Here is a 15038-nt window from a genome sequence, read left to right as displayed (position 1 = left end):
GAGGTAATTAGGTCAGGAGGGAGGAGCCGTAGTGAATGGGATTGATGCCCTTATAAAAGAGACCCAAGAGAATGCTCTAGCCTGCTTTGCACCATGTGAGGATACAATGAAAAGTCCGCCATCGGCAACCCGGAAAAGGGCTCTTGCCAGAACCCGACCATGCTGGCACTCTGATCTCAGACTTTAGTCTCCAGAACTGTGAGAAATAAATTTCTATTGTTTAGAATCCAGCCAGTCTCTGGCACTTTGTTACAGCAGCCCCAATGGGCTAAGACACACAGAGTCTTGGATAAAGAAATTCCAGCAGCGGTCTTTAAACACCCTAGACAGCCATAATAAAGTTTGGTGTAACCACGCTGTGGGATTATGTACAGGAAAGGGACTTATTTTTTGTTGACGTGGCTGTATCTTCAAGATGTATCATGGAATAAACAAGACACATTGTATAATGATATGCACAACATGATATCACTTGTCTCAAAATACACATCAACAAACAGCAATACTGTTTCTTCCCACAGGTCGATAATAGCATGTTTTATAACTTAGAGGCTAAGAGCATGAATTTCGGAGCAAGGCTGCCTAGATTTGGGACTGACCTTTCCACCAACTGCAGGCTGGGTGACGCCAGGCCAGTTACATAGCCTCTCTGGGCCTCAATGTTCTCATCTGTAAAATGGGGATAAGAGCAGCACCTACCTCACAGAGTTATTGTGGGGCTTAAATATGTAAAGCTCTTAAAGCAGTGCTTGGAAGTTAGTAAGCCCTATATAAGAATTATTTTTATTATGTGAAGGTTTAGATAAAGTTCTGGAAACATATCAAATAGGGGTTACTGCAGGAGAGGGGACAGGCATGGGGCTGGAAGCAGTGAGTAAAATAGATATCAGCTTTATGTATAAAAAGTTTAACTTTCTGCAAGGAAGACTGATTCGTGTCTTACTTGTGTGGTTTAGAATTAATACATTTTTTTAAAGTAAAAAAAAAAAAAAAAAGACATCAGTGACTTGAGGCTGGGCCCTTTGAATTTAGCAGAATTTTGCCTCCAGACTGGATCATCTGAACTGCTCCCTCCCATCCTGGCAGACATTGCCAAACCCATAAAACTGGGGCAGAAGAAAGGTTGGAGGGGCTAGACGGCTAGAGCCTTGGTTTTGGGTCTCACTGACCCAAAACTGACTTAGAGGCTGACATCCGGACAAGTCCCAGCTCCCTTTGGGCCATGGTTTGTGTATATGTCAAGCAGGAGTAATGCTTTGTATGCAGCCCATCTCACAGGGAATTGTGGAGCTGTTAAAAGAGCCTCTAATGCTGGGCATAGTGGCTCACACCTGTGATCCCAGTACTTTGGGAGGCTGAAGCAGGAGGATCGCTTGAGCCCAGTAGTTTGAGACCAGCCTGGGCAACATGGAGAAACCCCATCTCTACAAAAAGTACAAAAATTAGCCAGGCATGGTGTCGTGTGCCTGTGCTCCTAAGCAACTGGGGGTTGGGGGACAGAGGTGGGAGGATCACTTGAGCCTGGGAGGTTGAGGCGCAGTAAGCCGTGATATTGTGACTGCACTCCAGCCTGGGTGACTGTGAAAGACCCCCATCTCGAAATAAAATAAAAGAACATAATTTTTGAAAAAAGATCCTCTGGGGTCAGGAGGGCTGGGTTTAAATCCTGATTTCAACATTTTAGTGCTGTGCAACCTTGGACAGTTTTCTTAACCTCTCTGTGCCACTGTTTTCCTCATCTGGGTGGTGATTTTACATTTACTTCACAGGATCACTGTGAGGGTTGGAGACATTAATACTACAGCACAAGGAGGGGACATGTCCAGTCCGCAGCCAATGCTCATTGGCTGTTATGTACTGAGTTCCCGGCATAGGCTGGGCATCAGGCTACAGTATTCCACCTGCACCTCCCCATTAGAATCTCAAGCAATATTTCCAGGCACGTTTCCTGCATTTCATAGATGAAGAAACAGGCTCCAAGAAGTCAAGCAACAAAAGGTGGATTTAAAATCTATGCTGGCCGGGCACAGTGGCTCACACCTGTAATTCCAACACTTTGGGAGGCCGAGACAGGCAGATTGCTTGAACCTGGAAGTTCGAGACCAGCCAGGGCAACATGGTGAAAATCTGTCTTTACAAAAAATGCAAAAAAATTAGCCTGGCATAGTGGTGTGCACCTATAGTCCCAGCTATTTGGGAGGCTGAGGCAGAAGGATCACCTGAGCCCAGGAAGTTGAGGCTGCAGTGGGCTGTGATCACACTACTGCACTCCAGTGTGGGCAACAGAGTGAGACACTGTCTCAAAAACAAAATAAATAAAACAATAAAATCTATGCTGATTCCAGAGGCCATTTCCTAACTGAAATATAATACTGCTTTCAACAAATGGTCGTCTTTTAAAACTAAATTATCATTTTATTATGTCTTTATTATTTTTCCTGTTTACGAACATAACCTGTACTCATTTGGAAAGTTCTAAATATTCTGGAAGTATACATTATGAAATTTCCCCCACAAACTCACCCTCTAGGGGTAAGTGTATAATTTCCAAAACTCTTTACTCATGTTTGAGATTTTTTTTGACTTATCTGAAAGCCAGAACACCATTTCCTTAAAGCTTTTCTAGAAACCATGTCACTTTTAACTTTATTTTTTGAAGTACCACTTGCCACGAACTGAAGGTATCATCGAAAAGAAACTCAAGGGTGGGGCATGGAGGCTCACACCTGTAATCCCAGCACTTTGGGAGGCTAAGGCAGGAAAACTGCTTGAGCTCAGGAGTTTGAGATCAGCCTGGGCAACGTAATGAGACCTCGTCTCTATCAAAAATAAAAACAAAAAACAATTAGCCAGGTGTGGTGGTGCGCACCTGTAGTCCCATCTACTTGGGAGGCTGAGGCAGGAGGATCGATTGAGCCTGGGAAATAGAGGCTGCAGGAAACTATGCACGGAGCTGTGCAACCAGTGCACTCCAGCCTGGGTGACAGAGTGAGACCTTGTCTAGAAAAAAAAAGAAAGAAAGAAAGCCAAGGAAAACAAAAAACACTATGATGCTGTTGAACTGTAGCTGGGTATTGCTGCAGACCCAGGGCTCTGACCGGAGGCCTGGCCTCCCCTTGCTGAAAATATCAAGAGTGTGAGAGGTTTACAGATGCGTTAGCACCTGACTGAGGCTTTCTCTTTCACTAGTCTGGAAGAATGAAAAAGAACTGAAAAGGGAACAAATTTGTCACTTTACGATTCAATGGAATCGGATGCCCTCTCCACATACCTCCTAAAATCCTCTTGTGAACTCCTACTGGATAGGTCTTTCTCTGGGAAAACACTGACCTGTCCATTTCAATAAAAGGATTCTGCAGTCCAGAAACACACAGGACACCTTCAAGAACTCAGTGAATAAGACTATTGAGAGACACACAAAACAGCAAGCTATTTCTCTCTTCAAACATGATGCCACGGTAAGATCTGAATGCCTCAAAGCACCAGCTTCCCAAGGCATGCATGCTCCTTCCATTTCACCAGGAGGGACAGAAGGGACCGTGCAGGACAAGGGGTTCTTGAGGGTCTGGCGATGGTACAGGATCCATCCCACCCACAAGGGATAGGTGCTGGGGGATTGGGAAGCTTCCAGCGGTCGGCAGCCTCTCTACATTGGCACAATCTTTTAGGAGAGAAATTTGACAACACGGTTTCAAACATTTAAAAAATAAAAGTTCATATATCCCTTTAGGAGTCCACTTTGAGGATTGAGCCTAAGGAAGCCATCCAGAATGTGAGCAAAGCTCTAGCTACGAGGATGTTCACCAGGGCGTTGCTTACGCCTGGATGTCAGCGGGAGCAGCCCTTCCTTTCTTGAGACAGAAACAGCCAGCTGGGACACCAACCCACCTGCAATGCCATGACCTATAGGAGGCTATGGCCTCTCCTGGGAGCTCTGCGATTCCTGGGGAGGAGGTGGGTGGGCACTCCTCTAGCTGAGGGCTCCTGCTTTAATTCAAGCAGTTTGTTGCTTTTTTTGAGACCGAGTCTCCCTCTGTAACTCAGGCTGGAGAGCATGGCACGATCTCAACTCACTACAACCTCCACCTCTCAGGTTCAAGCGATTCTCCTGCCTCAGCCTCCAGAGTAGCTGAGATTACAGTCACGTGCCACCACACCTGGCTATTTTTGTATTTTTAGGAGAGACGGGGCTTCTCCATGTTGGCCAGGCTGGTCTCAAACTGCAGACCTCAAGTGATCTGCCCATCTCAGCCTCCCAAAGTGCTGGAATTACAGGCGTGAGCCACTGCGCCCAGCCCAGCCCATTATTAAATTACAAAACAAAATTGCAAAAATTGCAAAAATGTCATTCACAATGAGCATCTGGGAGCACAAAAGCAGACTTTAAGCAGCATTTTCTCCTCTTCTCCCTCCTCTCCTCTTCTCTGCTTTCTTCTTCTCCCCACTTTTTTGTTTCTTGCCATCCCCTCTGACTGGTTCCCTCTTCCTCCAGATGCCATGGCCCATGGTTCCCTGCCACGCTCCCTTCAAGTTCTCTCTCAAATGTCCCAACATCCCTACAAGAAGGCTACATCTGCCTCTCTATCCAGCATGCTCCACCCTCGCCTGCCTTGCCTTCTTCACTGCAGTCACTTCCACCTGACCTCATATGACATGCACATCTTTGTTTACTTGTTTGTCTGTTTCTACTGCCTCATCAGCTCCACAAGGCAGGGAGTTGGTTGTGTTCCCGGCTGTAGCCCAGTGCCTAGAGCAGGGCCTGGTGTGTGGAAGCTCAGTGGAGAAGCTGAATGCACTCATGATGGCAGGTGGTGAGCCAGAGCCGGTGTCTGCAGTGCTGGTACCTGCCTCACACGGAGCAGAGGGCATTCCTGGACTCACCGAAAATGCCCTTTTGCCATCCTTCCCCTAAGAAGTTTCTGGGAGTCATCTCCCTCTGTGGCTAACCTCCCTCCACCTTCTCTCCTTCCTTTCTTCTCCCCTCCCTCCACCCCCTTTTCTTTCAGGAGCAAATACAGCCCCTCCGCCCCATACACATACACCATGCAAAGCACTCTCTTCCCACCCAAAATGGTCCTGGTCCCTGTTGGCCATTTTGCACACAGGTTCCAGCCACCCCAAATCCTATCGAAGTATTTTCCCAAACGTATTTCCTTTCCTTCACCATTATGGTGAGAACTATTGGAAGAATTAAAATGTCATATCTTGCTTTTTTTTTTTTTTTTACAAAAAACAGGGAAAACATCCCATATATAATACAAGAAAATGAGACCCAATATAAATATCTAACAATGACGCATATGGTTCAGACATTCTATAAGCAACTATGCCACCATTTTAAATGACAGTATAACCATATAATAGACAAAGAGCAAATTCCCTTAACATGAAAAGTGCTTTTACAACTCAACAGGAAAAAGACCAAAAGCCAATAAAAAAGTGGGCAAAGGATATGAACTGACAGTTTATGGAAAATGAGCTACAGGTGACTCTTAAATATTTGAAAAGATGTTCAAACTCATTCGTAATAAGAGGCATAAAAAACACACCATTGTTCGTCTCCCAGATTTGCAAATATGGAAATTTGGCCCCTCCCCCTCCAGCTGGTGGGAGCAAAAATTAGTACAACATTTAAGGGGGGATAATTTGCCTTATTTATCCAAGTTCAAACTGCATATTCCCCTTGACCTTGCAAATCCACTCCTGGTTTTCTTAAAGATTCACTCCCACGTATGAAAAATGATGCCTGACCAAGGATATTCATTACAGCACTGTTGAAATAGCAAAAGACAGGAAATAACCTAAGTGTTCTACAACTGTTAGATCAATTACAGAGCAGTCATACGGTGAAATACTAGGCAGCTGTTAAAAAGAAAGAGGGAAAGGGCAGATTTTAAAATTTTGATGTAGAAAGATTTCCAAATTGCACTAAGTTTAAAAAAAAAAAACCCAAGTTAGAGAACACTACATATAGTACACTGCCATTTGTGAGAAGGGAAAAGTACACATGTGTGTGTGTGTCTATATATGTGTATATGTGTGTGTGTGTGTGTGTGTATATATATATACACATATATACGTGTATATATATATGTATATATCCATGTTTGTAAAAACACACTTAGACTGTCTTTGGAAGGAGACACAAGAACCTGATAACATTGGTTGTCTTCGGGGAGGGCAATTGGGTGGCTGGGAGACAGGAGATGGAAGGAGACTTATTTTTCATTATATCTTTCCAAATGTTTTACATTTTTAAAACTACATAAATGTATTAGCTATGAAAAATTAAAAATTTTAAAACATGATATAATAAGATTTAATTTCCCTTTAACGCATAATTCCATATCATTTATTTTTAAAAGTGAGATACCATTTTCATGTATAAGTCCATTAAAAATATGAATATATGGGCTGGGTGTTGGTGGCTCATGCCTGTAATCCTAGCATTTTGGGAGGCCAAGGCAGGTGGATCACCTGAGGTCAGGAGTTCAAGACCAGCCTGGCCAACATGGTGAAATCCTGTCTGTACTAAAAATACAAAAACTAGCTGGGCATGGGGGCAGGTGCCTATAATCCCAGCTACTCAGGAAGCTGAGGCAGGAGAATCACTTAAACCTGGGAGGTGGAGGTTGCTGTGAGCCGAGATCATATCACTGCACTCCAGCCTAGGCAACAGAGTGAGACTCCCTCTCACTAAAAAAAAAAAATAAAATAAAATAAATAAATAAATAAAATAAAAAAGATCTGGCAAACAAATCTGGCTCACATCCTTAGATTGCCTCCAAAGTTTTTACAGTGTTTGGACTTGCATTAGCTTGCCTGGTCCTTAGTTCAATTCTGTATGGAAAACAGAGCAGAGATGCTGGGATGGTGTATTCGTTTCCTAGTGTTGTCACAGTACTGCTGTATCTGCTGTCACAAAGTGCCACAAGCTGCGTACATTAAAACAACTGAGATTTCTTCTCTCGCAGTTCTGGAGGTCAGAGTCTGAGATCGAGGTGTGGTCAGGGCCGGGCTCCCTCTGAAGGCTGGAGGAGAGGATCCGTCCTTGCCTCTCCTGGTTCCCACCGGCTGCTGGCCATTCTAGGTGTCCTGTGGCTCCTAGATGCATCGCCGCACTCTCTTCCTCCTCCGTCCATGATTGTCTGATCCCCGTATGTCTCTGTCTTCATGTGTCCATCTCCTCTCTTATAAGGACACCGGTCCTATTGGATTCAAGGCCCATCCTACTCCAGTATGACCTCATCTTCACCAGTTATATCTGCAACAGCCCTATTTCCAAATAAGGTCACGTTAGGAGGCGCCGAGGGTTAGGCCTTCAGCATATCTTTTGTGGGGAGGCACAATTGAACTCATAACAAATGGGAAAAGTCATGCTAAGAAGTTATGGCTGGGTGTGGTGGCTCACGCCCATAATCTCAACACTTTGGGAGGCAGAGGCAGACTGATCACTTGAGGCCAGGAGTTTGAGACCTCATGTCTATTAAAAAAAAAAAAAAAAAAAAAAAGGAGTCCGGGCAAGATGGCTCACGCCTATAATCCCACAGGAGGCCGAGGCGGGTGGATCATCTGAGGTTGGGAGTTTGACACCAGCCTGGCGAACATAGTGAAACCCCATCTCTACTAAAAATACAAAAATTAGCTGGGTGTAGCGGCGGGCGCCTATAATCCCAGCTACTCGGGAGGCTGAGGCAGGAGAATCGCTTGAACCCAGGAGATGGAGGTTGCAGTGAGCCAAGATCGTGCCACTACACTCCAGCCTGAGCAACAGAGTGAGACTTCGTCAAAAAAAAAAAAAAAAAAAAAAGGAATAAAGAACAACAACAGCAAAAGAAGTTTTGCTGAATTTTCCTCAGAGGGGAAGAGGGTATGTGTGTTGGGGTCTGAGGAGGCTGACCCGGCCCTGTGGACACCCGGACAGCTCTGTATCTGATCCAGGAATAAAGTTCAGCATATTGTGAAACTCTTCCAAGATCTTTCCCCTCTGCTTGTCTGTCTTCTTCAAGGATCCATCTCCCCTCACACTTGTGCAGCATTTTAAGGTTGATCAAGGCACTGGGTGGGCGTGTATCATCTCATTCAATCCACAAAACACACTTTGTAGGATAGATTTGCATATGTTCATTTTACAGACGAGAAACCAAAGTTTCGAGAAATTGAATGGTTAGTTCATGGTCATCCAGCAAATACCAGTTGTTGAGAGCCCCAGTCTGTCTGCCGTCCACACCATGTGCAGGTCCACCTGGCAATGTGCTTCAGGAGACAAGGCGGGTGGGCATCATGGATGGCCATTCTGGGCTATGGTTCAGTAAGTTTTGCAGAAAGCACGCTGGATGGGAGTCTAGATACACCTGAAAAGCATCAGATACATCTAGATACATCTGAAAAGCCCATGGCTTTTCAAGGTTTATTTCTCCCTTAGAGAAACGGAAGGTGATTTGAAGGGACAATGAGGCTCCAGGATCTGGCCCCGGGGTACTCTCTGCCTCCTGCTACCCCCGGGTTTTAGAGGCTGGGAACTGCCAGTTTTCAAACTGCTTTTTAGGTCTGCAGAAACTTCAACCTTTTAAAAAAGGAAACATAAGAACTCCAACTTATAAAATGGACGCAAACGGCACTGAAGGTAGGAGCCTCTTCCGACCTCCTCGAATGATCACCCCAGCCAGTTTCAGGTCCTGGCTTTCTGGGTGAGAATAGTGACCGAAAACCACATGGGAATGCAGAAAGCAAGTAACAAAACAACACCCACGTATTCACCTATCACTTATGAGGTTAAATGTTCCTTAGAAATAATCTGGAGATTTGACATTAAGGAATAACTATTAAAATGTTTGTAGTATGCTGGTGGTACTGTGGTTTTGTTTTTAAAAGATGCCTTATCTTTTAGTACATTCTGAAATACCTCAGTTGAGATGCTATGCTGTCTGCCATTTGTTTCAAAATAACCAGCGGTGGAGATTGGGCTACCTAGGTGGCCTTGGGGTCGTGAGTAGGTGGCCTTGGGGTCGTGACTGTCCAAGCTGAACGTGGATAGGTGGGGCTTCATTATATGAAAACCCGCAGGTGCAGAAGGCTCAACCTAATTCTATTCCTTCTACTATTGTATATGTTTGGAATTTTCCACAATAAAAAGTTGTTTAGGCCAAAAAGTCTAAATTGCGTACAATGAACAGTGTAACTTCCGTAATTGTTTTAAAATCAATGAAAAGTTGCAAAGTAAAAGACAGAGAGAGTGGGTGGATCCGGTAGGTGACAGGAGCTGCGCAGGGAGGGGAGCACAGCCGCTTACTGTGTCCCCCCATCCAGGCGACCCTCATCTGCCATCCTCTGCGGGCCGGCAACTCTTCCTCCAAACTGCCGGGGCGCATGCTGTGCGCGCTGCCGGGCCACTGGCGCCCTGTCCGCTTACCCAGCTATCCATCGGCCAGCCACCCGGCCACCCGCACCTCCCGCTCCAGGGCCTCTGACATCCCCTCCACCCCTCTCCGTGCAGAATTCGAACCCCGATCCTCTCCCTTCCGCTCGCCCCAGCCCGGGTCCCGCAGCCCCGCGGCACGCCCGGCACTCACCCTCAGAGCTCCCGGCACTCACCCTCAGCGCTCGCGGCTCCTCCGCGCTCTGCACGAAACTGAAAGTAGAAGCCGCCGCCTAGAGCTGCTCCGCCAGTGCATGGAACTGGCGGCTGCTGCCGAGAAATCACGTGGATTCGAGGTGCCAGCCCGAGCCAGATGGGGCTCGGGCGCGGGATGGGCGGGGGCCTAACACACCCGCTCCCTGCTGCGCCCACACCCTGGCACCTCCCCACAGCCCCGCATCGGACCCAAGGACAGTCCCAGGAGACGTGGGGGCGCTCACCCCTTTCGTGGACGGGAAACTGAGGCAGGCGGGTGAAGGTCGGCTCACATGCGGAGCTCAGGTGGGTGGGGACCCTGGGCCAAGACCCTGTCTCAGTGCCTCAGTGGGGACTGGGTTGGATGGGAGGGGGGATACGGTGCAGGAGGAGGGGACTTAGAACCAGGGGGAGAGCGGAGAGCCTCCAGGATGAACTAGGGGAGAAGGGAATGGCAGCAGCGTTCGCTCCTATTCACCGAACCCCTGGCTGGCTGACCCGGGAAAAACAGTCTACCAATTTATCTCATAAAGTAACCCTAAAATACTTCTGCAGGCATCACCCTATGTTCCAGGTGAGCCACTGAGGCTCAGGGAGGACAGAGGTGAAGGATCTTGCCCCAGTCACAGGAGGAATCACAGGCAGAAAGGGGGAGATGGAAAGAGGTAGGAGGGAGAGCAGGGAAGGAGAGGAGGGACTGGAGGGGGCAGAAGGAAGGGGAGGTGGCTGTCCCAGGATGGAGTCAGGGGCCATCCTCAAAGTCCAGCTTCAGCTTCTCCAGGTTTTTGCCCACATCCTGGGACAGGGGGCTCCTCTCCCCCTGGACATACTCATCCGGTGGGCAGCTGTGCCTGCTAGGAAGGCCTTCTACCCACCTCCCAGACATCCCACAGGGAAGCAACTTTCACTCCCAGACCGCTGGTGCTCCCCTGCCTCCCAGGCCTGGGGTGGGTGTGGGTGAGGACGCTGCAAGGTAGTGGTCAGGACACAAGCATCAGCATCGGACATCCCTGGTTCAAGTCCTACTCAGAGTGGGAAGGACACAGACTTTGCAGTGATTCCTTGTGTGTGACTCCCAGCTTCACCACTCCTGGTTGTGCAACCTCAGACAAATGCCTTGACCTCCCCTGGCCTCAGCTTCCTTATCTGTCAAGTGGGGTATTCCTAGTCTCCCCAGGCCACTGAGGGGCATGGTGGGAATGGATAAGAATGTGGGTGTGAGCTGTATGCATGGGAGGGATTGATTATGTTCCAGTATGTGCCTGCTAGGAAGGCCTTCCACTCACCTCCCAGACATCCCACAGGGAAGCAGCTCATGTTCACTGAGCACTGACGGGATGGCTGGTCCTACATGAAGTCCCAGGAAAGACCTGTGCATGAAGTCCCAGGGAAGACCCTGACCCGCTCCCTGTGCAGGCAGGGTAGACAGACACTTGAACAAATAACCACAGTCCAAGACACAAATGCAGATCATTTTCAGATGCATTTAATTCTGAACAGCCCTGTGAGGAGGGCAGGACAAAGATTATTATCCCATTAGACAGATGAAGAAGCTGAGGTCCAGATAAATCAAGTGAGTTGCTGAAGGTCACACAGCAATGAGGGGCAGAGCTGGGTCTTGACCCTGGAGCCCTTTTCACTCTGGGGGTACCAGGCCTGCCAGAAAGGTTATCACCAAAGGGTTCTGGAAGAGTGACCTCCTCAAACTTTCCCTGTCCTCAGACTGGCTTGTGGCCTGAGAGTCCGCTATCAGCACATCATACCTTTGGCTAAAAATGTGCTAAAAATGTGCCAGCCCCTCCAGTGTCAATCAAATGGCCATCAGTCATTTACACTTGAGTGTGGAGAAGCCGATCAGATTTTATGGGTTGGAGATGAGAAGGAATCTTGAGTGTTTGGACTTTTGGGTGGGAAACTGGAGATATGAGAGGAAAGTTTGACAGCAGAGAGAACTCAGGAGGTGGGTGGGGAGGGAGTCATGGTTAACTGGAGGATGGAGTGAGTCCGCATGACCTAGACACCTCTGTGTACCTCACCTCCATGAAGTATAACCAATGTCTGGCACTCGTGGAGCACTTAGGATATACCAGACACTGTGCTCTCTCCTTTTTTTTGAGATGGAGTCTTGCTCTGTCACCCACGCTGGAGTGCATTGGCATGATCTCAGCTCACTGCAACCTCCACCTCTCCGGTTCAAGCAATTCTCCTGCCTCAGCCTCCCGAGTAGCTGGGACTACAGGTGCATGCCCAGCTAATTTTTTTTAAAAACATATTTTAGTAGAGACCGGGTTTCACCATGTTGCCCAGGCTGGTCTCCAACTCCTGAGCTCAGGCAATCAGCCCGCCTTGGCCTCCCAAAATGCAGCCGCTCTCTCCTTTAATCTTTTTGTTTGTTTGTTTTTAAGACAGTCTCACTCTGTCGCCCAGGCTGCAGTGCAGTGGCACAATATCAGCTCACTGCAACCTCCACTTCCCAGGTTCAAGCAGTTCTCCTGCCACAGCCTCCAGAGTAGCTGGGACTACAGGTGTACACCACCATATTCAGCTAATTTTTTTGTATTTTTAGTAGAGATGGGGGGGGTCACCATGTTGGCCAGGCTGGTCTTGAACTCCTGAGATACCCCTGCCTCAGCCTCCCAAAGTGCTGGAATTACAGGTCTGAGCCACCATGCCCGGCCTCTCCTTTACTCTTCATGGCAACTGTTATCTTTCTTTTTACAGATGAGAAAAGGGAGGCACAGAGAGGCTAAATAATTTGGCCAAGATCACACAGAAGCAGAGGAGCAGAAGGGTGGACCCAGGCAGGCCAGCTCTGCAGCCCCTGCTCTTGGCCACCATGGGCTCCTCCTCTGGGCTAACCCAGCCCTTGCCAGAATCCTACATGGAAAGTATTATCATCCCATTGAATAGAAGAGGAAATGGAGGCACAGAGGGGCCCCAGGATGGCAGAATTAGTAACTGGGGTTGGGGGGAGCTGGGATTAGACCCAGGTCTGAAAGCCAGGCCTTCCCTCTACCCTTCCTATTTGCCAAACACCCGGGCCCCATCCTGCCCAAGGTCAGCAGCCCAGGTGGCAGGATGTGCTTCTGCCTGGTGCTGGCCTTGGGGAGCACTTGTTTTTCCCCAGAGGAAGCAGCAGGTGTGGCCTTCTTTATGGAAATGATCCTAACTGGGTTGGAGCCAGGATTCCCCCCAACACACACCCAGGCCAGGAGGACTTCAATAGGACTAGGTCAGAGCTTCTAGGCTTGGATGGAGGGGCTGGAATTTGGGAGAGGGGCTCGGAGGTCAGTCCCATTTTGGTAAGCCTCTCACCCTCTGGACTCCATATCTCCTGCTAATCGCACTCCTTGGATGAGACAGTGACATGGAAGTGCCTCCCAGCTCAGCCCTGGGGAGACCTCTCCAAGGTCACTGAAGGAAGCTGGGGGCATGCCCCTACCCTTCTTTCTGGAGCAGAGCCCTGGGACCTTCTGGAGTCCCAGTCAGGCTGGGGTCTACAAGGGTTAAGACTCCAAGTGACTTCTCTGTCTGCCCCTCATGCAGATAAAAGTTTCCATTCAAGGAAGAGCTGCCTTAGGGCTGCCAAGTTATCCTGATTCTGTCATTGTAGCATCAAGGTGGGGGCCTTGGGCCTTCCCAGCCTCTTCAAGGGGACATTCTTGGGTGGGATGTGGCTCCTAACTGGTGTCACCACCTCAAAGGCCAATATCCCAAGACCCAGAATTCCCACGTTGGACTCAGGGACTGGCGAGATCACACTGACTCCTTCTGCCAGGGCCCTTTAAGAGCCGCCCATCCCGCCCATGATGCTCCTGCTTAGTGAGTCAGACACTTGCATTAGGCCCCAGGGGAGGAAGAGAAACAGGCCTCAGAAAGCACTTGGAAGGGCAGGGAAGGGCTGGGAAGAAACCTGGCTCAGAAGATGGTGCCCTCCCCTCACATATTCCCAGACTGGAAGGGGCATCTTACTTCTGAGCTCCCCACAGCCCCAGCCTCCTGGCTGTCTCTCCTGGCTGCTGAAATAAAGGCCAAGCCCTTTTATCACCTTTGTTATGTGACCCTGCCTGCTGGTTGGGCCTCATCTCTCGCCCCTAGTTCTTTGCTTTCAGGGCCACACCAGCCCTCTTGACTGTTCTTGAATCCATCATGATTCTTTCTACCCCAGGGACCTTGCACTAGCCAGCATCTTGCTGCGCTTCCTCCCGTCTCAATTGGCTAATGTGGGAGAGGCATTTTCTTTACACACCCAGAGAAAATAGAGCCTGCTACCTTCCAAGACTGAGAGGGTTGGAAGAAACTTTTTGTATTGTAGCTTGAGGGTGGGAAGGAGAAGACACAATTTGAGCATAAGAAGGTGAGCTGGAAGCTGGGCACGGTGGCTTATGCCTGCAATCCCAGTGTTAGGAATGCTTGTTCTCCACTGCTGCAAAGAAATAGCACTCAAACATAAATTTAATTTTCTCAGCAAGCAATTTTTAGTTTCTGTAGAAAGGGTGCTCCTCATAGATGGAACAATGGTGAGAGCACAGTTGAACAAGGGAGGGGAAGGGGTTCTTATTCCTGACCCAGGTAATCCCTGCTGCTATGTTGTTCCCCTGTTGGCTAAGGTTGGACCGCACGGTCTAAGCTAATTCCGATTGGCTATTTTAAAGAGAGCAGAGGTATGAGCCAGAGTGGCGAGGTGAGTAGTTTGGCAGGAAGGACAGTTAGGAACGGGTAACTAAAGGTGACTTACATCAGAGCAGGTGACCAGGGGTGACTCAGGTCAAAGCAGGTGACTGGGATGAGTCAGGATGGAGCAAGTGACCAGGGGAACAGGTGTGAACTACTGAATAAAACTGATGGAAAAGGTTGTTTACTGAAATTAGAAGCAAGGGGGCGAAGAGAACCAGGAAGTTAAACTTTAAAATGGAGAATCAAAGAATAAGAGAGCTGAACATACAGACATACTGATTCTTTGAAGAAAAACTTGGGGTTCACCATATTTAACATGAGCACTTTGGGGGGTTGAGGCAGGTGGATCACTGCAGGTCAGGAGTTCGAGACCAGCCTGGCCAACATGGTGAAACCCCGTCTCTACTAAAAATACAAAAACTAGCTAGGTGTGGTGGCGGGTGCCTGTAATCCTAAATACTTGAGAGGCTGAGGCAGGAGAATTGCTTGAACCTGGGAAGTGGAGGTTGCAGTGAGCTGGGATTGTGCCACTGCATGCCAGCCTGGGTCACAGAGAGACTCCGTCTCAAAAAAAAAAAAAAAAAAAAAGGTGAGCTGGAAATAAGCTCAGGCTCGTGAGCAGTTTATCTTCTGGAATAAAGTCGTTTGCCTTTTTAAAGGCTCTGTCTTCCTCCATTTCTACCAGAAACCAGACCTCTGAGGGCCCCTTCCCCTCCCACCATCCTCAGGATCTGAAGCCCTGGTCCTC

At 48.3% G+C, this 15038-nt stretch overlaps 1 protein-coding gene and 1 long non-coding RNA gene across 36 annotated transcripts in view, besides 3 other annotated features; one reads left to right on the top strand and one right to left on the bottom strand.

Moving 5' to 3' along the window:
* The window catches only part of NLRC5 (NLR family CARD domain containing 5), a 93964-nt gene extending 84331 nt beyond the window's left edge, over positions 1-9633 (bottom strand). For 21 of the 35 annotated variants that reach the window (NR_169512.1, NR_169516.1, NR_169513.1 and 18 more), the window contains exon 1: positions 9595-9633. The gene's annotated coding sequence lies outside the window, so the exon portion shown is untranslated. Of the gene's footprint in view, positions 1-9572 lie in introns of all 35 variants that reach the window. The other 14 variants (NR_169520.1, NR_169518.1, NR_169517.1 and 11 more) reach the window with 1 other exon arrangement.
* Positions 7159-7453: an enhancer, noted in NCBI's record as "tiled region #12884; HepG2 Activating non-DNase unmatched - State 21:Repr, and K562 Activating DNase matched - State 8:EnhW". NCBI's record gives its function as "activates a minimal TATA promoter and a strong SV40 promoter by Sharpr-MPRA in HepG2 and K562 cells {active_cell/tissue: HepG2 | K562}" and the evidence as "EXISTENCE:reporter gene assay evidence [ECO:0000049][PMID:27701403]".
* Positions 9326-9825: an enhancer, noted in NCBI's record as "H3K4me1 hESC enhancer chr16:57023277-57023776 (GRCh37/hg19 assembly coordinates)". NCBI's record gives its function as "activates a minimal SCP1, AML or CMV promoter by ChIP-STARR-seq in primed H9 embryonic stem cells {active_cell/tissue: H9 hESC(primed)}" and the evidence as "EXISTENCE:reporter gene assay evidence [ECO:0000049][PMID:30033119]".
* Positions 9549-9748: an enhancer, noted in NCBI's record as "active region_10868". NCBI's record gives its function as "activates an Ori minimal core promoter by ATAC-STARR-seq in GM12878 lymphoblastoid cells {active_cell/tissue: GM12878}" and the evidence as "EXISTENCE:reporter gene assay evidence [ECO:0000049][PMID:35858748]".
* Positions 9789-14948, top strand: LOC124903696 (uncharacterized). Its single transcript, XR_007065081.1, has 2 exons — positions 9789-9919; positions 10169-14948. It is a non-coding gene; the product is annotated as an uncharacterized LOC124903696 (long non-coding RNA).

Source organism: Homo sapiens, chromosome 16, assembly GCF_000001405.40.
Source record: "Homo sapiens chromosome 16, GRCh38.p14 Primary Assembly".
Classification (NCBI taxonomy): domain Eukaryota; kingdom Metazoa; phylum Chordata; class Mammalia; order Primates; family Hominidae; genus Homo; species Homo sapiens.
Note: the sequence above shows the minus strand (reverse complement) of the source record. Positions and strands in the feature narration are given on the sequence as shown.